Source organism: Homo sapiens, chromosome 8, assembly GCF_000001405.40.
Source record: "Homo sapiens chromosome 8, GRCh38.p14 Primary Assembly".
In the NCBI taxonomy this organism is placed as follows: Eukaryota; Metazoa; Chordata; class Mammalia; order Primates; family Hominidae; genus Homo; species Homo sapiens.
In genome coordinates this window covers 131,808,846-131,831,781 of record NC_000008.11, presented here as the reverse complement: position 1 = coordinate 131,831,781, position 22,936 = coordinate 131,808,846, and the positions used below count along the sequence as shown (strand labels likewise).

The following is a 22,936-nucleotide window of genomic DNA, read 5'->3' as shown; positions in this document are numbered from 1 at the left end:
TTTTTTTATTTTTATTTTTTACTTAAAATATAATTTATTGGGAAACCAAAGAAAATCAATTGAAACAACATAAAACGAAGGTATAAATATGAAAAGTGAATAAAATTGAATCCATTTATATCAAGAACATGCTAACAAATAGCCAAAAATAGCTAGAAAATAAAAAGATTCTATTCTTTTTTTTATCATTATACTTTAAGTTTGGGATACATGTGCAGAATGTGCAGGTTTGTTACATAGGTATACACCTGCCATGGTGGTTTCCTGCATCCATCATCCCGTCATCTACATTAGGTATTTCTCCTAATGTTATCCCTCCTCTAGTCCCCCACCCCTCGAGATGCCCTAGTGTGTGATGTTCCTCTCCCTGTGTCCATGTGTTCTCATAGTTTAACTCCCACTTATGAGTGACAACATGCGGTGTTTGGTTTTCTGTTCCTGTGTTAGTTTGCTGAGAATGATGGTTTTCAGCTTCATCCATGTCCCTGCAAAGGACATGAACTCATCTTTTTTTTTGGGTGTATAGTATTCCATGGTGTATATGTGCCACATTTTCTTTATCCAGTCTATCATTGATGGGCATTTGGGTTGTTTCCAAGTCTCTGCTATTGTGAATAGTGCTGCAATAAACATACGTGTGCAGGTGTCTTTACAGTAGAATGATTTATAATCCTTTGGGTATATAACCAGTAATGGGACTGCTGGGCCAAATGGTATTTCTGGTTCTAGGTCCTTGAGGAATCACCACACTGTCTTCCACAATGGTTCAACTAATTTACACTCCTACCAACAGTGTAAAAGCATTCCTATTTCTTCACAACCTCTCCAGCATCTGTTGTTTCCTGACTTTTTTAATGATAGCCATTCTAACTGGAGTGAGTGGTATCTCATTGTGGTTTTGATTTGCATTTCTCTAATGACCAGTGATGATGAGCTTTTTTTCATATGTTTGTTGGCCACATAACTGTCTTCTTTTGAGAAGTGTCTGTTCATATCCTTTGCTCACTTTTTGATGGGGTTATTTGTTTTTTTCTTGTAAATTTGTTTAAGTTCCTTTTAGATTCTGGATATTAGTCCTCTGTCAGATGGGTAGATTGCAAAGATTTTCTCCCATTGTGTAGGTTGCCTGTTCAGTCTGACAATAGTTTCTTTTGCTGTGCAGAAGCTCTTTAGTTTAATTAGATCCCATTTGTCAATTTTGGCTTTTGTTGCCATTGCTTTTGGTGTTTTAGTCATGAAGTCTCTGCCTATGCCTATGTCCTGAATGGTACTGCCTAGGTTTTCTTCTCAGGTTTTTATGGTTTTAGGTCTTACATTTAAGTCTGTAATCCATCTTTAGTTAATTTTTGTATAAGATGTAAGGAAGGGGTCCAGTTTCAGTTTTCTGCCTATGGCTAGCCAGTTTTCCCAGCATCATTTATTAAATAGGGAATCCTTTCCCGGTTGCTGGCTTTTGTCAGGTTTGACAAACACCTTTGTAACCTTGAGAATATTTTATTTGAGTATGAAAAACCAAAACTATTCATCTCTTCCTCCTCCCTCTTGTTCCCCTCTCTCTTTTTTCACCCTTTCCTTCACCTTCTTTCCCCACATTCTGTCACTCATTCTGTCTTGCCATTCTACCTTAGACTCCCTCCCTCTTCTCCCTTCCTACTTCTCTCCCCCCTTCTTCTGAATTATTTACCCTTTTCTCAAAATGCTCCTGAGCTCCTGACCCCATGGAAGACCCTCAGGGTGATTTCTTGGATGAATTTGACACCCTCTCTAGCTAGGGCATGTGTGTCTGCTGGGTCCCTGCCCCCATCACCCAACACCTGGCACAGCCTGTGCTTGTTATGTTTTTACAACCTGGTGAGTTTTCTTTTTAAATTTAGGGTTGGCATTTCTCACATGTGAAGTCTAAAATCTGCAGGGTATTAATTTTAGGCCTATTCTTTTAGGAGAAGGCAAAAGCCCTGCTCTCGTTGGGCAGATTTTACAAATCCTCAGGAGTATTCAGAACACAAAGCGCTAAAAGGTAATTCCACCCTTGAGTGATTTAATAGTTTCTTGGCTCAGCAGGTACATTGTTTTGGTAAATTAGGAAGAAAAACTTTATTTTTTCTGATAACAAAAGTAATAGTTCTTTCTTGAAGAAAAAGGAAATTTAAAAAAGCACATGAAGAAAGTGAAAAAATATATGTATTATCACCTTTTGGAAACAACCAGACTTAACTCATTTGTTCCTATGCTTCTTGTCTTTTTTATGTACATGTAAGCACATATTCCTTTTTAACAAATTGAAGACATGATATACATGTTATTTAATACTATTTTGCATTAATATTTTATGACTTTTCTCTAATGTAAGTTTTAATTTCTATGTAATATTTAGGTATATGGATATACTATTGTAATTGGAATAAAATTCAGTAGATTTTTTAAATGGGTCAGAAACATTATTTTTGTAGCATGGCAAACATTAATTGCATTCTAAAAATATTTTATACTAACTCCCGATGACCATGTGACGAAGATAATACTTATGAATAAGTTCGAAAAATTCAATTTTTTTTCCTCCCTTTTGGGCCTATGGAATGCTACGCTTCCTAGTTCCCCTTGAAGTTAGGTGAAGACATGGAACTGCTTCTGGCCAGAAGTGTGAGTGGAAATGAAGTGTGTCTCTTCTGACTGGGTAGGGAAAATTACCTTTAAGAGTTTCCAGGTTTTCTTTTGTTCCATGTAGATTATAGAGGTCAGAGGTCTTGGTTGAGATGATGATGTCACAAAATGAAGCAGGCTTGATTTCTGAGTCACAGCATGAATGAGAAATAAACTTAAATGAGTTAACACCTGAAGTTTTTGAACTTTGCATTTCTCAGCATAGGGCTAGCCTATGCTCTTACAGACCACCTATGGAAGTGTTTAACATAGGTTAGAGCATTTCTTCTGGGATGTTTTCAGGATACAGCAATTAGTAAATAATCATTCAGCTCTTATTGATTGGGGATTTTATGTTCAGGTAGAGTCCCAGACCCTAAGAGAACACAAAATTGAGAGAGACACAGTCCTAATCCCCAAAGCAGTCAAGTGAGAATGGCATTCGTTATCAAAATTAAAACAATGGAAATGCTTTCATGGAGGGTGTACAACCTGCTATAGGACCACAGAGAATAGACTAACATTGGGGAAGGATCTTGAAAACTTCCAACCTTGACTAGAAAATGTCAATGTGGTGGGAGACGATCTTTCCAGACATAAGGAACAGCATGCACAGAGTCACAGAGATGTGAAATGGCATGGTATGTTTGGAAAACCAGGACATTCATATGGCAGGGAAATGGAGGAAAGTAAAACTGTATTGTTTTGAATAAGAGGAAGCTCGATACCTTTCAAGGTTAATTATCTCATTGTTAAATATCTCTAAGGAGGAGAAGTCTTTTTTTATGCAAAACGAAAATGTTTCATCTTGTAATTTTTAGTACTTGGGCCTCATTTTTCTCTCTGGATATGCTAAGATGAAAATTAAACCCTTTTTTGGTCATACCCCTTCAAATATTTAGGACACTTTTTATGTCCACTTGAATTTTGTGGGTTTTTTTTTTTTGAGTTTTAGTTCTGATCTTCTAAAGGTGGTGTGCAAAATCTTGCACAAAACATTGTGTATAGTGATTAGTCAAGGTATGTTTGATGAGTGAATGCACAGATCAATTCAGAGACCATCAGCGCTAGTTTCTATTCAGTACAAAAATATGAAGGACAGTAATTTATTATAGTTAATAGTTAGCATTTATTGAAAACCTTACTTTTTGCCAGGTATTTTGTCAGCTTCTTTACATGCATAGCAGCTTACTTAATCGCAACAACTCTACAAGATACATATTATTATTGTTGTTCCTATTTTGGAAATGAAGACTATGAGGTTTACAGAGGTGAAGTACCTTTCTCAGTTATACAGCTCTTAAGTGTTAGAGTCAGAGTGAACTCATGTCTGTTGAACTTTAGAACCTGAACTTCCTTATTTTCAAATTGTCTTATGATGTCATTGAACTCTTCTGCCCACACTGGAAAGTGGGCATTTCCTCTCATTTTACACTTGAGTGTCACGAGTGTCAGAGCAGCTGGAACACTGCTTACTCAATTCAGAGCTAGGATTTGTCTGATTTCAGAACCTGTGACTGCTCTATCCTTCCAAGTTCTTCTGAGGAGAGAGAATGATTTAGGCAGGAATTCAATCAGGATTTTCTTATAGAGAGATGAACTCCAATTCAATGTCTGCCTTACTAACTTCCCTTTTCTTTTATCATTTCACTCAGATCAATCTCAGTGAACAAGCTAAAGAAAACACAGAAGGAGCATAGCTGCTTAATGCCATTTTCAGTAGTTTACAAATATCTCTTTAAGTGGTTTACAAAAAGATGTCAATTGAGTACCACCTTTTCCTACTGCCTTGGGATTTGCTTTCTTTTATGTAGCTTTTGTCTGGCTGGGGGAGATGGGGATTCTCCCTGATGTTGGATGAGATTAGGCGCAGCAGAAATCACCCTGGTTTATTAAATGGGAGACTTGAGATCTATTCCCTAAATGATCACTCTCCGGCCTTGTGGCAAGTCACCAGCCCTCTTGAGGCTTTGGTTTCCTTATCTGAAATGTAGTCACGAGAAACTAAGTCTTAGGGCTATGTAATTGTGCTTACTGACAATGTATTGCCTGCTTTGCAATGTATTGCTTGTGCCAGACACACATTCTGCTAAACTCTTTTTATTTAAATCCTCATGACAACCTGATGAAATGGTTATTATTATTATTTATAAAACTCAATTTTATAGATTAAGAATTAGAGGATCAGAGGAGTTAAATAATCACCCCAAGACATATAGTTATCTGAATGGAATTCGCCCACTCCAACATTGTTATCACTGAGTTGTGGGATTTACAGTTGAAACCACTGAGGTCAGAATTTGGCCTCCACACATAGTCAAGTACCATAACCTCTCTAAGCCTCAGCTGTCTCACCCAGAAAATGAGGACAATAAAAGTGCCCACCTCATAGAATTATTATTATTATTATTTTTTGGCAACTTAGACACTTACTAGATAGAATGTTCTTTTTGAGCCAGGAGTAAACATCATTATAGGCCATTTAAAAAGTGTCACAGATAAATTATCACTTAGTAAAATAATTACATTTTCTTTTTTTTAGCTTTTATTTTGAGTTCAGGGGTACATGTGCAGATTTGTTACATAGGTAAACTTGTTTCATGGGGGTTTGTTGTAGGGATTATTTCATCACCAGGTATTAAGCCCAGTACTCATTAGTTATTTTTCCTGATCCTCTCTCTCCTTCCACTCTCCACTCTCTGAAAGGCCCCATGTGTGTTGTTCTCCTCTATGTGTCCATGTGTTCTCATCAATTAGCTCCCACTTATAAATGAGAACATGTGGTATTTGATTTTCTGTTCCTGTGTTAGTTGCTAAGGGTAATCAACTCCAGCTCCATCCATGTCCCTGCGAATGACATGATCTCATTCTTTTTTATGACTGCATAGCAGTCCATGGTGTGTATGTACCACATTTTCTTTATGCAGTTCATAGGGTTATTTTCACAATTAAAGGAGAATATATGCATACAATTCTTAAGTATAGTACTTGGCACGTACTAATAAAAAGCATTAATTGATAGAATTAAATGATTCAAGAGCAGTGGTTAAGTGGTTACTTTTCTTGGGAGGTCATGAATCTGTTAAGAGATGTCCAGAGGAAAACAGAAATCTGAAAAATAATCTTACATAAACTTCTGAGGCCTTATGGATTCAGACATGTGTGGGCGTCCAAGGGTTAATAAAGCCAAGGTTAATATTTCTTGTGAAGGACAGACTCTCCTAGATGGGAGATTTTAGAATTGATGATTCTCTAAATGTTTCTTTTTCTTCCTTTAAGGCAATGGCTTAAAACAAAAACAAAAACACAAAACAAAACAAAAAACCTTCTGCAATAACAAGCTCTTCCATCAGCTAACAAACTAAAAACACTTATTTTATCCCTTGGGGACCTGCAGTCTCCTTTGCTGCCTGGGGCTCAGTGGAATTCTCCAGTTATTGTGTGCTTACATGTTCAGCAGCCATTCTTGCATTTTCTGCCTCAGCTCCTTCAGTGTAATTATCTCTATATATTATTTCTACCCCACCAAAATGCATACAACTTGTCAGTGTTGAGCAAGCAGGGCTGTGCTTTGCTGCCAGAGTTTGCTGCACAGATTTCTTACCCTGCCTTGTGGAAAAACTGAGAGTTACATGAAATTTTATGTAAACATGCCAACCTACTTTTGGGGGGTAAGAGGGAGGGTGAGAGGGAAATCCGCGTCATTCCTCTGCCAAGGACAGAGGCAGGATGCAGCAAGACTCCACAATAATAATAATAATGGCTGAATGAATTATTTTAGTACAATAGGCAAAAGGAAATACCCCCAATTATTCTTCGATGACCTACTTATTCAGTCACTATATATTGAGCACCTATTACATGTCACTGCTATGCCATACTTTGGAGGTTTAACCTTGAACATTACATATAGGGTCACAGATGACATGAAGTTTATAATCTAATGTATATATCAATTATATACTATGAAGTCAATAGACTCAGTTTCCTTAGCAAAGTGTATGGCAAAAGCAAAACCCTGTCATGATGGTGACTTTCATGTGCGTCCGTGTGAAGAGACCACCAAACAGTCTTTGTGTGAGCAATAAAGCTTTTAATCACCTGGGTGCAGGCGGGCTGAATCCCAAAAGAGAGTCAGCGAAGGGAGATAGGGGTGGGGCCATTTTATAGGATTTGGGTAGGTAAAGGAAAATTATAGTCAAAGGGGGGCTGTTCTCTGGCGGGCAGGAGTGGGGGTCACAAGGTGCTCAGTAGGGGAGCTTTTGAGCCAGTATGAGCCAGGAGAAGGAATTTCACAAGATAATGTCATCAGTTAAGGCAGGAACAGGCCATTTTCACTTCTTTTGTGGTGGAATGTCATCAGTTAAGGCAGGAACCAGCCATCTGGATGTGTACATGCAGGTCACAGGGGATATGATGGCTTAGCTTGGGCTCAGAGGCCTGACATTCCTGTCTTCTTATATTAATAAGAAAAATAAAACGAAATAGTGGTAAAGTGTTGGGGTGGTGAAAATTTTTGGGGGTGGTATGGAGAGAGAATGGGCAATGTTTCTCAGGGCTGCTTCCAGCGGGATTAGGGGTGGCGTGGGAACCTAGAGTGGGAGAGATTAAGCTGAAGAAAGATTTTGTGGTAAGGGGTGATACTGTGGGGTTGTTAGAAGAAACGTTTGTCATGTAGAATTATTAGTGATGGCCTGGATACGGTTTTGTATGAATTGAAAAACTAAACGGAATAAAAGAAGGAGAAAAACCGGTATTAAAGGACTAAGAATTGGGAGGACCTAGGACATCTGATTAGAGAGTGCCTAAGGAGGTTCAGCATAGCCTTGCCCGCAAAGATTATTTATTTACTTTAAGAGTTAAGAGCGGCAGTTTGGGGATAGCACCAGGAGATATCAGCGGTGATGGCTTGGAGAAACAGTGTAAACCGGCAGTGTAAACAAGAGCAGGGCATATATGAGTAGTTGAGAACGGTGAATAGGAGTATGACTAGACAGAAGATAGTAGGGATGACAAGTTTTTTGGGGCACAGTCTAAGTTGGTCTGGTGTCTGGAATGAGACTGGGGCTTAATAAAAAGGAGTGTCCATACAGGAGCTCAAATGGGCTGTACCTTGTAGCATTCCAAGGACAGGCCTGAATTCTGAGAAGGGAAAGTGGTAAAAGTATTGTCCAGTCCTTTTTAAGTTGGTGGCTGGGCTTGGTGAGGTGTGTTTTTAAAAGACTATTAGTCCATTCTACCTTTCCTGAAGACTGAGGACCTTAAGGGATATAAAAGTTTCACTGAATATCAAGAGCCTGAAAAAATGCTTGGCTGATTTGACTAATAAAGGCTGGTCTGTTATCAGACTGTATAGAGGTGGGAAGGCCAAACCGAGGAATTATATCTGACAGAAGGGAAGAAATGACTGCGGTGGCCTTCTCAGACCCTGTAGGAAAGGCCTCTACCCATCCAGTAAAAGTGTCTACCTAGACTAGGAGATATTTTAGTTTTCTGACTCGGGGCATGTGAGTAAAGTCAATTTGCCAGTCCTGGGTGTGGGCAAATCTCCGAGCTTGATGTGTAGGGAAGGGAGGGGGCCTGAATAATCCCTGAGGAGTAGTAGAATAGCAGATGGAACACTGAGAAGTTATTTCCTTGAGGACAGATTTCCACGATGGAAAGGAAGTGAGAGGTTCTAAGAGGTGGGCTACTGGCTTGTACTATAGCATAGCCTGCCTTTGCTGGTGTGTGGCGATTAGGCCTGGTGGAACTGCCGTCAATAAACCAAGTGTGATCAGGGTGAGGAACAGGAAAGAAGGAAATATGGGGAAATGGGGTGAATGTCAGGTGGGTCAGAGAGATACAGTCATGGGGGTCAGTTGTGGTATCAGGAATAATGTGGGAGGCCAGATTGAAGTCCGGGCCAGGAACAATGGTAATTGTGGAGACTTAACAAAGAGTGAGTACAGCTGAAGGAGCCAGGAAGCAGAAAGTATATACGTCAGGTGTGAGGAATAAAATAGATTTTGGAAGTTATGAGAAATGTAGAGAGCGAGTTGAGTATAGTTTGTGATTTTAAGGGCCTCTAAAAGTATTAGGGCGGTGGCGGCCCCCGCACGCAGACTTGAGGGCTAGGCAAAACAGTAAGGTCAAGTTGTTTGGATAAAAAGGCTACAGGATGCAGTCCTGGTTCTTGTATAAGAATTCTGACTGCACAGCCCTGCACTTCGGCTGTGGGTAATGAAAAGAGTTGGGATGAGTCAGGGAGAGCTAGGATGGGGCAGTCTCTAAAGCTGTCTTCAAGGAATGGAAAGAGGAGTGGGGAAAGGATTTAGGATCCATGGGGTCAGCTAGGTTTCCTTTTGTGAGTTTATATAATGGTTTTGTTAGGATGGCAAAACCAGGTATCTAAAGGTGAAAGTATCTAACTATGCCTAGGAAGGAAAGGAGTTGTTGTTTTGTAGAAGGTGTTGGGGTTTGAGAGATCTGCTGGACATGATCGGCAGGGAGAGCACGTGTGTTTTTATGAGAATTATGCCAAGATAGGTAACAGATGAGGAAGAAATTTGGGCTTGACTGAAGTAATAGGGGCTGTCTGTGAAGCTTTGTGGCAGTACAGCCCAGGTAATTTGCTGGGCCTGATGGGTGTCAGGGTCAGTCCAAGTGAAAGCGAAGAGAGGCTGGGATGACGGGTGTAAAGGAATAGTAAAGAAAACATGTTTGAGATCTAGAACAGAATAAAGGGTTGTGGAGGGAGGTATCGAGGATAGGAGAGTATATGGGTTTGGCACCACGGTGTGGATAGGCAAAACAATTTGGTTGATAAGGTGCAGATCCTAAACTAATCTGTAAGACTTGTCCGGTTTTTGGACAGGTAAAATGGGGGAATTCGAAGGAGAGTTTATAGGTTTTAGAAGCCCATGCTCTAGGAGGCAAGTGATAACAGGCTTTAATCCTTTTAAAGCATGCTGTGGGATGGGATATTGGCATTGAGCGGGGTAAGGGTGATTAGGTTTTAATGAGATGGTAAGGGGTGCATCATTGTCACCAAGAAGGGAGTAGAGGTATCCGATACTTGTGGGTTAAGGTGGGGGGATACAAGAGGAGGATGCAAAGGAGGCTTTGGATTGGGAAGAAGGGTGGCAATGAGATGTGGCTGTAGTCCAGGAATAGTCAGGGAAGCAGATAATTTAGTTAAAGTGTCTCCGCCTAATAAGGGAACTGGGCTGATAATTAAAAAGGAGTGATAATTAAAAAGGAGTGCTTAAAAGAGTGTTGTCTAAGTTGGCACCAGAGTTGGAGAGTTTTAAGAGGTTTAGAAGCCTGGCTGTCAATACGTACAACAGTTATAGAGGCAATGGAAACAGGCCCTTGAAAGGAAGGTAATGTGGAGTGGGTAGCCTCCGTATTGATTAAGAAGAGGACAGACTTACCTTCCACTGTGAGAGTTACCCAGATCATCTGTGATGGTCCTGTAGGCTTTCGAGGTGATCAGGCAGTGTCAGTCTTCAGCTGCTAAGCCAAGAAGGTCTGGGAAGGAGTCAGTCAGAGCCTGGGGCCAGAGTTCTAGGGGCTCTGGGAGTGGCTGCCAGGTGAGTTGGACAGTCCGATTTTCAGTGGGGTCCAACGCAGTTGGGATACAGCTTAGGAGGAATCCCAGGCTGTGGGCATTCCTTGGCCCAGTGGCCAGATTTCTGGCACTTGTAGCAAGCTCCTGGGGGAGGAGGTTCTGGAGGAACCCCTGGCAGCTGTGGTTCAGGCTTTTGGAGTTCTTGTGTGCTGGAGACGTGGCTGGGGTTTGTCTCAATGGAGGCAAAGAATTGCAACTCAGAAATACATTGCTACTTGGCTGCCTCTACTCTATTATTGTACACCTTGAAGGCAAGGTTCATTAAGTCCTGTTGTGGGGTTTGAGGGCCAGAATTTAATTTTTGGAGCTTTATTTCATGTCGGGAGCAGATTGGGTAATAAAATAAAATGCATATTGAGAATAAGACGGCCTTCTGACCTTTCAGGGTCTAGGGCTGTAAAGCATCTCAGTGTTGCTGCCAAACGAGCCATGAACTGGGCTGGATTTTTGTATTTGATGAAAAAGAGCCTAAACGCTATCTGATTTAGGATAAAGAAAAAGGAGCATTAACCTTGACTATGCCTTTAGCTCCAGCCACCTTTTTAAGAGGAAATTGCTGGGCAGGTGGGGGAGGGCTAGTCAGGGAACAAAACTGTAAGCCAGACCAAGTGTGAGGAGGGGAGGTGATAAAAGGACTATAGGGTGGAGGAGCAGAGGCTGAGGAAGAATCGGGACCTAGCTCAGCCTGGCAAGGAGGGGAGAGGTCAGATGGGTCTGTAGAAAAGGAAGATTAGAAAGACTCAGCGACGCTTGGGGTTGGGACTGAGGGGACAGGCGGGAGGGAAAGATGGAAGATTTGGGACTAGTTGCATTGGGAACAGAGACTAGGGAGGGACCAATGTGTAAAAGAATGCCTGGATGTCAGGCACCTCAGACCACTTGCCCATTTTACGACAAGAATTATTTAGATCTTGTAGGATGGAAAAATTGAAAATGCCATTTTCTGGCTATTTGGAACTACTGTCGAGTTTGTATTGGGGTCAAGCGGCATTGTAGAAGAAAATAAGGCATTTAGGTTTTAGGTCAGGTGTGAGTTGAAGAGGTTTTATGTTTTTAAGAACACAAGCTAAGGGAGAAGAAGGGGGAATGGAGGTCGGAAGCTTGCCCATAGTGTAAAGGAAAATTACAGTCAAAGGGAGTTGTTCTCTGGTGGGCAGGTGTTGGGTCACAAGGTGCTCAGCAGGGGAGCTTTTGAGCCAGGATGAGCCAGGAGAAGGAATTTCACAAGATAATGTCATAAGTTAAGGCAGGAACAGGCCATTTTCATTTCTTTTGTGGTGGAATGTCATCAGTTAAGGCAGGAACTGGCCATCTGGATGTGTATGTGCAGGTCACAGGAGATATGATGGCTTAGCTTGGGCTCAGAGGCCTAACAGTAACTACTTTTGTTCATCCACTTATTCATTTATTCAATCACAAACATTTATTGACAATACTTTGTGTTCTGTTTGGAACCATGCGAGGAATAGGGGTTATTGGGTCTGATGCAGTGTGTCTCTACCTTAACACTATTGACATTTAGGCTGGATAACTCTTTGCTGTGAGGAGCTAGTCTGTGAATTGAAGGGTGTTTGGCAGCATCTCTGGTCTCTACTTACTGGGTGCTAGAAGCAGCACCTAGTCGTCTCAACCAAAAATATCTTTGACATCACTGAATATCTCCTGGGGGTCAAAATTGCCCCCAGTTGAGGATCACAGATCTAATGTATAAAACATTGCTTCTGACATCAACATTAAACAGAAGTCAGTAAAACTGATAACCACAACAACAATTAAAATGGATGAAACACCTCCATTTGGTCAGGTTTTTGCCAGGTACACAATCTTATTCAATGCTTACAACAACTGTATGCTATAAGAGTAAATATTTATTTATGGATCTCTAAAGGTTTATAATGGGTAAGTCTATATTTCCATATGTGTTAATTATAACCTTCTAAAAGCAAGAATCAATATTTAAAATGTTTGAAGGGGAATGAGGGCACCTACATTTTAAGTGATAGCACAAGCTAAAATTAAAAGCCTAGTTTTAAAGAAGTGTTAGATTATTTTATATAGTAGAAATGATAAAGCAAAAAACTCTCGTATGATAATACGTGGCTAAGGTTTTTCCTTTTTTGTGCTTTAGTTTATATTGGCTACATTTTTCACTGTATGCATTGTGTGTTTCTTTTTAATAGTTTTTTTTCTGAACACACATTTATGTTAATGTTTTTATTGAATAACACTTACATTGTACCTTTCTTATCACTGATACAATAAACATAACAGGATTTTGGGGGACTTCAGAACAGTAATTAATACTTGAGTTTCAGAGTACAAAGTCACCTTAGTAGGCATCAAATCCAAACTACCCAGTTTATGGATGAAAAATACAAAGCTAACATTGGGGAATTGAATTGCTCTAGGTTAGAGGGTTTGCAAACTATGGCCTATGAGCCAAATTTGGCTTGTCACTTGTTTTTGCAAATAAAGTTTTATTGGAATACAACAAAGCTCATTTGTTTACATATTATCCATGGCTGCTTTCAAAGTACAACAGAGTAGATTAGTTGCAACAGAAACTATATGTCCTTCAAAGCCTAAAATATTCACTATCTGTCCCTTTACAGAAAATGTTTGTCTAGGTCATATCAAAAACTAGGGCTGGTGGAGGACTTTGAGTTGATGTGTCTCTTACTGGACAGCAGCATGGTGGAGCAGAAAATCCCTGGGCTCTAGAATCAGACAAGGTTTTGAATCTTGTCTCTGTCATCCACAAGCTGTGTGGCCTTGAACATGATCCCTTTGAGTCTCATTTCCTATTGAGTAAAATTGGGATGAACACAGTCTGCAATTTTGTTATGTGGTTTATAAAAAGTTGATAATGTCTCTGATGTGTACTCAAAATAGATGATATTAAAATACAATGCCCTTTCAACTGAATAACTGCAGCTTTTACTCATTTACTCAATAAATATTTAGCAAAAGACCATTGAAGGTACCTTAATAGGGACTGAGGGTACAAGAAAGGTAATGACAGACATGGCCTCTAAATTTCATTTCAGCCAAGTAGAGAGTAGGTATGAGAGGGACCTAACCCAGACCTTACTCAGACATGGTTTACTGAAGGAGAGTACATTTAATTCAAGACCTTAAGCAAGCATAGGAATTAACAAGTAGAAGAAGATGGAAGTCGGGTAAGGAATGTTTCAGGCAAAGGAAAGGACAAGAGTAAAAGTCCTAAGATTAGTAAGTCATTGTACACTGAAAGAACTACAGAAAAAAAGGTCAGTAAAGTTTGCGTGGGAGTTCAATGTTGGGAGAAAGTGGGGAGAGATATGGTTGGGAAGGTGAACATGATGCAGATTCTAAAAGGCCAATGGAGCACGTAGCGTTAGTTGCCTACCCAACAGTCACAACCCCCTTTCTCAATAACAAAATCATGATTTTGTACACCTGGCAAAATGCCCACCTTAGGGAAGGCAGCAGATGTATCAGTGATTGGTCTGAGGTGAGCTAGTGATTGGGATATGGCCAATGGAAGAATTTTGAGGTCTTTAAAAAAAAGTTTTCCAATCCAAAAATAGGAGAGTCAGGTAAGGTGGCTCATGCCTGTAATCCCAGCACTTTGGGAGGCTGAGGCAGGTGGATCACCTGAGGTCAGGAGTTGAAGACTAGCCTGGCCAACATGGTGAAACCCCATCTCTACAAAAATTAGCCTCCCTGATGGCAGGTGCCTATAATCCCAGCTACTCGGGAGGTTGAGGAGGGAGAATCACTTGAACCCGGGAGGCGGAGGTTGCAGTGAGCCGAGATTGCACCACTGCACTTCAGCCTGGGCGATACAGCAAGACTCTGTCTCAAAAACTTAAAACAAAAAACAAAAACAAAAACAAAACCCAACAACAACGACCAAAAATAAAAATAGGAGAAAGCACTTTTCCTCCCTTTTCTCTCCGCTTTGGCTGCAGTCAAGTGAGACTGTGATGCCTGGAACTGTTGTAGCCTTTTGCCCTCATAATGAAAGTGAACAGGCTGAAGATAGAGAGAAGAAATGCATACAGATAGAATTCCAGGGATGATTTGTTGAGTTCCATGTTGTCATTCCAGGGCTAACTGTGGCTGTACACACCAGTGAACTTCCTATTACAGAAAGTAGGGCAAGATCAAAAAGGGCTCAAGTGCCAGGGTCAAGTGACATCCAAGAGGAAAAGCAAATGTAACAAAAGCTTTAGTCGCTAGTATCATCTCTCCTGCCGATGACAGAGTACCAAATGGATTAGATGATTAAATGGACTAGATGATGATTAATGGATTAACTGCAAATAACTGAGCTCCAAGTGACCCTTTGTAAGAAATAGCTAGCCTTCAGTGGAGGCCTCAATTTCCTCATCTGTAAAACAGGGGTGATAACAGAACCATCTAAATGGCTTGCTGTAACGATAAAATAGTATATAGATTTGGAGCCCCAGCATGGAGCCTAGTTCCTAGGAAGTGTTCACAATGGTAGGTGAAGATTATTATTCTTTCATCATTTTCTGTAAACTCATATGTCTTGAATGATTTTGACATTCTTAAAGAGTACCCCATGCTGGCATGAATCAGAACTTGCATGGACATTGCATAGAGGATTGAATGAGATATTCTTCAAAGCAGCTTTTTTTTTTTCAACCAAACCACATGTGGTGATTAATAGCATGTTGAGAAATTAACTTACTGTCAAGTAGTAAAGAAGAGAATGGATCAGAATAGGCAATATTGGACTGCATCCCCTGTGGTAAGGATAACAATTGTTTTATGAAAGTTTTTTGTTTATGTATTTATACATGTGTGTTAGCTTGTAATTGTAAAATGTACTTCTGATTGTGGAATGAGTTAAAAAATCTGTTTTGAAAAAGAATGCTCTAAGGTTTCTTGCAACTCCAGCTTCTGTGGTTGTTCTCAGATCGTGCGGCTCATTTCAGCATTCATGTTGCATAACAGTGCTACCTGCTGACTCATGGTCAGCAGGCAGTGGCCTGGTTGACTGGGGTTTTCTCTTCACCACCGCTCTGTGTTTTCTTTAGCAGCCCTGTTTCATTATTACAGAGAGCTAAGGAAAGTGAGTATCTTCCATAAAGGGAACTCATTACCCATTAAATTAAAATGGAAACTAAACAGGTATCTTGAGAGGTCTCGGGTGGGCTTTTCAGCCCAGTCCACAGGACAGTGGAGTCATAGCCTAGAAGGTAAATGGCCCATATCCTATGAACAGAGTTACTTTGCAGGTTTTGCAGTTATAGGATGGATTTCTCCATAGGCATAATGAGTCCCTCTCATTTCCTCTTTTAATTGCAGCCTGTACTATTGATGTTGGGGACTGTGAACTGGGAATTTGGGCAGCAGATTTTCAATGGAAAAAAAAACCAACTTTTATTTGACCTTTTCTTTTTTCTGGTCACTTAAGAAGAAAAGAGAACTGAGAAAAATATGTAAAATGTATATATATAGATACGTGGAGATATTTATGTAGCACCTGCTCTATTTTCGAACCGTCCCATTGCCTACAATAGATGATTGCCTAAGTGCTATAAGTGGTGCTGCGGAGGAAGACAGGATTAGAATCAGACACTTTGTTTTAGAGTTCCTACTCTGTTCACTACTTGTGTGAACTTGGACAAATCACTGACTTATTCTGAGCTTTGTTCAGTAATAAAAGCTGCATTTTCGGGACTACCTGCCACGTGTCAGGCACATTACAGATGTCAATTCTAAACCTGAAAGCAACCGTGAGAGGTAGTTGAATATATTAAGTGACAGTTTAGGGCTATGTGGCCAGTCAGAACCAGAATCTAGAGTTGAATGTAAATCTCCTTGGTTCTGAAGCCCACAGATTTTCCATTATATTTCTCTGTTTACCTTAAAATGGAAATTAAGATAAAAATGCGTGTCAACTCCCAAGGTTGTCTTAAGGTGAAAACTAGCTAAAGTAAATGTAAAATTTTGATCACTGTTAGTTACTGTGATTATGGCCATTATTATTTTTAGGAGCACGAATAAACCTATATATGCTTATTGTTACAGAACCTCTTATTATACGCATACTTTTATTAATGTTTATTTATGTGCTGTTTCCTGCCCTAGACTTTGAGAGTCTTGAAAGAAGGAATCCTGGCTTATTTGATTGTGTATTGTTAGTAACTTACACAATGTTTAGCATATAGTTAAGTGCTCAATATTTGGTCTACTGCAATGAAAATATGTATAATTTCCACTCTACAGAACATTTCTATATTTAGAGCCATATCTGTGTTTTCAGAATTCATCTTTCAAATTGCAAAAAGTTAAAAAGGGGTTGGGAAAATATGTATCAACATATTGATAGAGATTATAGATAAGTTATCTTCTTTCTTTTTCTTAGATTTTGTAATTTTGTTTCATAATTGTCTTTTAAAAATATTTTCTAATTTTCCTTAATATACATATTTTATTTATGTAATTAATATTTTTGGTTGTTTTAAAACAAATTCACTAGAAGGAGTAAGATATTGATTCACTGAAAATGAGATACATTAAGACCATTATTTTATCAGATAAGTTTTGAGGTCCTGAAATTTGAAAGGGATGGAATAGAAGGTAAACAAAGGAGAAGGTTTGCAACTTGTGTCTGCGTTGGGACAAGGAAGGGAAATTTCCTAGGCTGCCAGACTTCTGTATGAATCATAGAATTTCATTTGTAGGGGGTGGTTGAAGTTAACTCATGACACTACCTCAAGAAATTCTTTTCATGGTCTCTGACGGATAGTTGTATATCTTCTAAGTTAGTATTCCTAGGGATAAAAATACCAGCTACCATGCAGAAAATCCTATTTCATTGTTAGTAAGGAAAGATTGTGACAATGCTCCACAAGTAGAGTTAAACATTGCCTTTCTGAAGTCTTGACTGTTGGTCCCACATAGGCCCTTCAGTGGCAAAAAATATACAGAATATTATTTCCACTTCCCTGGGTCTTAGCTACACCCCACTGAACACATCCTGTCTGTTAACCACTCCAGATATGCTGGCTCATAGCTCTTTCACCATTTTGGTTGCCGATTTCTACACAGAGGCTTTATGGGGATGACGAAGGGATAGGCTTTGGAGGCGCACAGATCCAAGTTCTAATCTGTGCTACATTCCCTATGAGCTGTGTTAAAGCAATAGTAAAAAGTACAATAATAATAACAGATAAAGATGATGGTAATGACAACAGCTGACATTTTTGGGTGCTTTCTATGAACTAGTTACTGATCAATGAGCTTAAAAATATGTTATTTTTAACTGACAAATAATAATTGAGGTAGCCATAGTCCCATGTACACTGTAGCATTATTCACAACAGGCAAGATAGGGAAGCAACATAAGTGTCCATCAAGTGATCAACTGATAAAGAAAATGTGATATAAAAACACAATGAAACACTATACAGCCTTCAAAAAGAAGGAAATCTTATGACTTGTGACAACATGGGTGAACCTAGAGGACATTATGCTAAGTGAAATAAGCAATGGGCTTTAAATGCAAAATCTCATTTCATTCTCAAACTCTGAAAATATGGGGATAGCAGCAGTAACCCATATGGAGTTGGGATGTGGTTTAAATAATATAATGCATATGAAGTGCTTAGAATATGAGTACTAGAATATAATGAGCACTTCATAACTATATAATAATAACAATAACCATGGCACCCACAACAGGCCATTATACCCTAAATGGGGTAACTTCTGCAGAGTGCAGGGGGATGGCAGCTCTCCTATCTGTACAGCATAGTAGTATTCATTGGTGAGAATGGGAATGGAAAATAATTGACAGTAAGTGGGGCAGAGGGGGAAATAAAAGACCAGAGTTATGTTTCCAGATCAAGTTGATCTGTGTAGCCATTTTGTCTGGAGCCAAGGATCTGAAATTGACTATTTCAATTAGTGACTACATTTTAAATTGTTTTTTTTTTCAGGATCATATTCTGGGTGCTGGTGTATGTGTAGGAGGGTCCTCAAAATGTCTTCTGGTAGTATGATTAAGGATTAAGAGCATAAACTCTGTGGAATACTATACAGCCATAAAAAAGAATAAAATCATTTTGCAGCATCATGGGTGGAACCGGAGGCCATTATCCCAAGAGAAATAACTCAGAAACAGAAAATCAAATGCTACATGTTTCCACTTATAAGTGAGAGCTGAGCAATGTGTACACGTGGGCCTACAGAGGGAAATAGTAGTCACTGGGAACTCCAAAAGGGGGAAGGTTGGGAAAAAAGAATATATAGAATATTATTTCTGTACATTATAATATTTCTGTATACTGTAATATTATTATTTCTGTATACTGAGCTTGGGTACAATGCTCACTATTCAGATGGTGGGTACACTAGAAGACCAAACCTCACCATTATGCAATATAGCCATGTAGCAACCATGCACATGTAACTCATAAATCTAGTAAACAGTGAAAAGGAGTATAAGCTCTAGGGTCAAATTACCTCTGTTCAAAACCTGCCTCCAGAGTGTACCACCAGTTCGTCCATCTGGCCAGCTTTCTTAACCTCTCTGTGCCTTAGTTTCCTCATCTATAAAATGGTGATAATAATCCTATGGGCCTTACTCAGTTATTTTGAAGCTTTAATGAGTATTAATAGGTATAAAAATCCCAGAACACAGCATGAAAAATGTTGGGTATTTTTACTTTCTTGTGGAATAAGGAAGAGATAAGATCAGAATTATTCTTCCTTCCTGGACCAGCTAGCTCTTTGAAGGAAGCCTCAGCATCTCACACACACACACACACACACACACACACACACACACACACACCCTCCAGTCTCTAAGCTCTAGAACAGAGATTTCCTTTGAAGGTGTCATGTCCAAACTATCCTTGGCCTTGCTGCGCGGCAGGACCGTTCATTATGAAATCGCCTCTCACTGCAGGAAATCTGAATGCGGCAATATTGAAATGCCTGTGTGAGAAAGAACATAAAGTGGAGGTGCGAGGCAGAGCCCCAGTGAAAATCCACAGGCTGGCGCATAAGCAGAATGCAGCCCTTTCGTCTATCTTATTAAGAAATGTTTCACAGACAGCCTGGATTAGATTAGTGGAAATGTTAATTTATCTTCTAATGCTATAGTCTGATTCTCTCTGTGTGTGAAAGATATGTTTTGCTTAAATCTATTTTTTAATAAATCCTTACGATATTGTTCAAGGTAATTGATGGTGGAGGTATAGGACATTTCTCAGTAATACACAAACAAAGCCAAACTCAAATCATGTAAATTGCTTCATTCGTAGGGATAAAACTAAATTGCTTGGCAAGGCAGGGAGTCAGAGAAAACAGAAAAGATCCAGAGGGAGCAGTGGAGGAATGATGACTGCGTTTTTCTTATTATTTCTGCATCTGTCAAAATGGAATGTGCCCCCCTCCTATTTTATATTCTTAACTCTATATACAAGACAATCAATGGTGTTATAAATAAGTCTGTTTTTGTTATGGGTATGAGACTGCCCAGGAAATGGAATAGAAAATTACTTTCTAGTCTAGCCTCAAAATCAATTTTTTCCAAATTATTTTTCTTACAACACTTCTATTTGTCTCTTGGAATTTTTTTTTTCATTTGCTCTCACCCCTCCCTCTGTTAAGGTGCTCCGCTTTGTCCTTTTGTGCTTATAATCTGTATTATAAAATCAAGCCTATAAGTATGCATTGTTATTTTTCTCATCTAGACTGTAAGATTCTAGAAGGCAGGGCCATTTCTTATACTTCTCTCTGCCCTCTGGAATGTAGTACAATGTCAGCAACCTGATAGTCATGTAGGAGAATAAGGATCTCACACTTTGCAAAACGCTATCACACAGCAACGCTGCACTGAGGCCCTATTATGTGTCTGACAGTGAGCTAAGTGCTTTCTGTCATTCATTCTTCACCCATAGTGATTGCCCTCGTTGTCATGCGGGGAGGTTCCTTTTACTCTTCTCATCCCAACCCAACTGTCCTTGAGCCAAGGCTGACCCGTTTAGGGAAAGAGAGTGCCTTAATCCATTTGGAGTGCTAGAACAGAATACTATAGACTGGGTGGCTTACAAACAACAGAGATTTGTTCCTTGCAGTCTTGAAGGCTGGAAGTCCAAGATCAAGGTGCAGGCAGATTTGGGTTATCTGGTGAGGGCCTGATTCCTGATTTATAGGCAACTGTTTTTTTTTTTTTTTTTTTTTTTTTTTTTTCTGTGTCCTCACATGGTAGAAGGAGCAAAGGCATTCTCTGGGAACTCTTTTATCAGGGCACTAATGCTGTTGATGAGGACTCTACCGTCATGACCCAGTCACCTCCCAAAGGCCCTGTGTCCAAATACCATTACAATGGGGATTCGATTTCAGCAGATGAATTTGGGGTGGGGACATAAACATTCAGTCTATTGCATACAGTAATCAAAGCTGAGCCAGTCGGATGCTTCCTTGTAGAAATGTGAAACTGGAGTGGAACAAATGTCCCGTGGTATTGCCCTAGAAAGAAAGTTTCACAGGCTTCACCAGCCAAAGTTCCCTTTCCAACCTGGACAGGAGATTGCCTTAGACTATGTGAGTTGCTTCAATTTTCCAAAAACCTCAACTCCAATTATCGGGAATTGTTTGATATACAGTGTTAAATGATTTGCCTCCAATCCTCTGGCTAATGAGTAGAAGAAGTTTCATAGACCCCAAAGCTCTTAATCTTTACTATCACACACAGGGAACTTCTTATTTCAATCTCACAATAGTCTCATAAAGTAGAAATGCTACTCATCTTCACTTTGCATTGTGAAATACAGAAGCTCAGAGAGCTCACCAAGTTTAACATCCCAGGTGATAGGTGATGGAACTGATCTTGAACTGACTTCTAGCTTCTCACAGAGTCAGCTTTGGAAGGGATTTATTGAATCTCCACTATGTTCCAGGCTCTTTCAAAAGAATTTTTACAAACGAGTTCAGAATTACTTTCTACAGAAACTATTTGTTCCGTGGAGATCAATTCCATACTCAAACCCTTCCAAGGGAAGCTGAACCATCGTCTTCCCCCACCCTGCTTTCTTGGAGGTCAGATCAAGGTAGCTAGGACTCAGTGATGTGACTTTGAATAGAAAAGTTAACTGGGTCAATGTCGTTCCTGCCACCAGGAATTTGAAACTGGAAGCTAGAAACAGAAGCTGAGACGTATGGGTGAGGATATGAAGAAGGGGCAGTGAGGTCATGTTAGTTCTGTGCAGGCTTAGGTGATAAGGGAAGAGAAACCAGGGATAGGCACGTGAAGCCTTATGTCAGAGAGAGGAGAATGGAATCCTTGTGCAGAAAGAAGCAGAGAAAGAGAGGCACGGAGATACACACAGACATAGTCACATATGCATACACACACACAAGCCTGTCTAAAGTAGCCAACAGCCAGCTTAGCAAGGGTATGATGAACTAGAACAGAGCTCCTAAATGGGAGGACTGGTACCTGAGCAGGACCTCAGTACCTGCGCCACCTGACATTACTCCAGCTGTTATGTAGGAAAATCTGAAAGTCAATGAAGACCCCAGCAGAAAGATAGAGCAGTTGGGGCTAAGAACCTGAGGTGGGATGGAACTTATTTATCAACTAGTTTGAGAGTTTTTCAATATTTAACAGCTTGTATGTTTTCACTGGCAGAATATCAGGTCCATAAACATCTTCCCCTCCCTGCATACTACTTCACAGTGTGGCCCTCGAGAGAGAGTGTAAAAAAGTAGTTGATCTCTAGAGCTGTTTCCATCCCTGATAATGTTTTACTTCAAAGTCCCAGTTGTGTCCCATGCAAATTCTTATATTTATATATATCAAATGCTGCTTATTCCCTGTGTTTAAAGTCTGGCCACCTTAAAAAGTAAAATAAATAAATAAATAACCTGAAATGATAAGAGCTTATAAGGGGGATTTAATCATGGGTCTTGGGACTCCAGGATTCTTTCTGTAAAACCATGGTTATCTCAATGTGGAGCAAAGTCTGGAACAAGAGAATTAAGTGGTACCATTTGTAATAAGAATCACAATCAGTGCACTGAACTGAAGCCCTCTGTTTTACTCCTCAAATTCTCTCTCAGAGACCTGATTGGTTCTTAACAGTTTGTAGGGAGCTCAGCTACTGCATCCACAAATTGTGTCAGCAAGCATAATGAAATATTTTGAATTGCATTATAAACATTTCATGTGTGTAACCTTTAGTTCTCTGGAACATTTAGAATTTGGTTCAACCTGGACCCATATGCATTTGTTGTTTTTTTTGAGAATCACTATATGGAGACTGTTCTAAACTCTGGAGAGACTTAGGCTCTGGAGAGACTAAGCAGGCAGGTACCCATCCTGGAGATGTTCACAGCCCAGGAAAGGAAGTCAAGGAGGTGGAGGAAGAAAAACAACAACAAAAAAATTGACTAAGTATATTATCATTTAATCCATTCATGAAACACATATATGCAAAATGATGTGTTTTAAGAATTTTATTTCATTTTTCAGATGAAGTCTCACTCTGTCACCCTGGCCAGAGTGCAGTGGCATGATCCTGGCTCATTGTAGCCTCTACTTCCTGGGCTCAAGCAATTCTTGTGCCTGAGCCTCCCGACTGGCTGGGACTACAGGCGTGCGCCACCATGCCTGGCTACTTTTTGTGTTTGTAGTAAAGACAGGGTTTCACCATG

At 39.9% G+C, this 22,936-nt stretch overlaps 4 annotated features.

The window, feature by feature from the left end:
- Positions 11,212-11,713: an enhancer, noted in NCBI's record as "NANOG hESC enhancer chr8:132832316-132832817 (GRCh37/hg19 assembly coordinates)". NCBI's record gives its function as "activates a minimal SCP1, AML or CMV promoter by ChIP-STARR-seq in primed H9 embryonic stem cells {active_cell/tissue: H9 hESC(primed)}" and the evidence as "EXISTENCE:reporter gene assay evidence [ECO:0000049][PMID:30033119]".
- Positions 15,089-15,238: an enhancer, noted in NCBI's record as "active region_27990". NCBI's record gives its function as "activates an Ori minimal core promoter by ATAC-STARR-seq in GM12878 lymphoblastoid cells {active_cell/tissue: GM12878}" and the evidence as "EXISTENCE:reporter gene assay evidence [ECO:0000049][PMID:35858748]".
- Positions 15,369-15,498: an enhancer, noted in NCBI's record as "active region_27989". NCBI's record gives its function as "activates an Ori minimal core promoter by ATAC-STARR-seq in GM12878 lymphoblastoid cells {active_cell/tissue: GM12878}" and the evidence as "EXISTENCE:reporter gene assay evidence [ECO:0000049][PMID:35858748]".
- Positions 19,891-20,411: an enhancer, noted in NCBI's record as "NANOG hESC enhancer chr8:132823618-132824138 (GRCh37/hg19 assembly coordinates)". NCBI's record gives its function as "activates a minimal SCP1, AML or CMV promoter by ChIP-STARR-seq in naive H9 embryonic stem cells {active_cell/tissue: H9 hESC(naive)}" and the evidence as "EXISTENCE:reporter gene assay evidence [ECO:0000049][PMID:30033119]".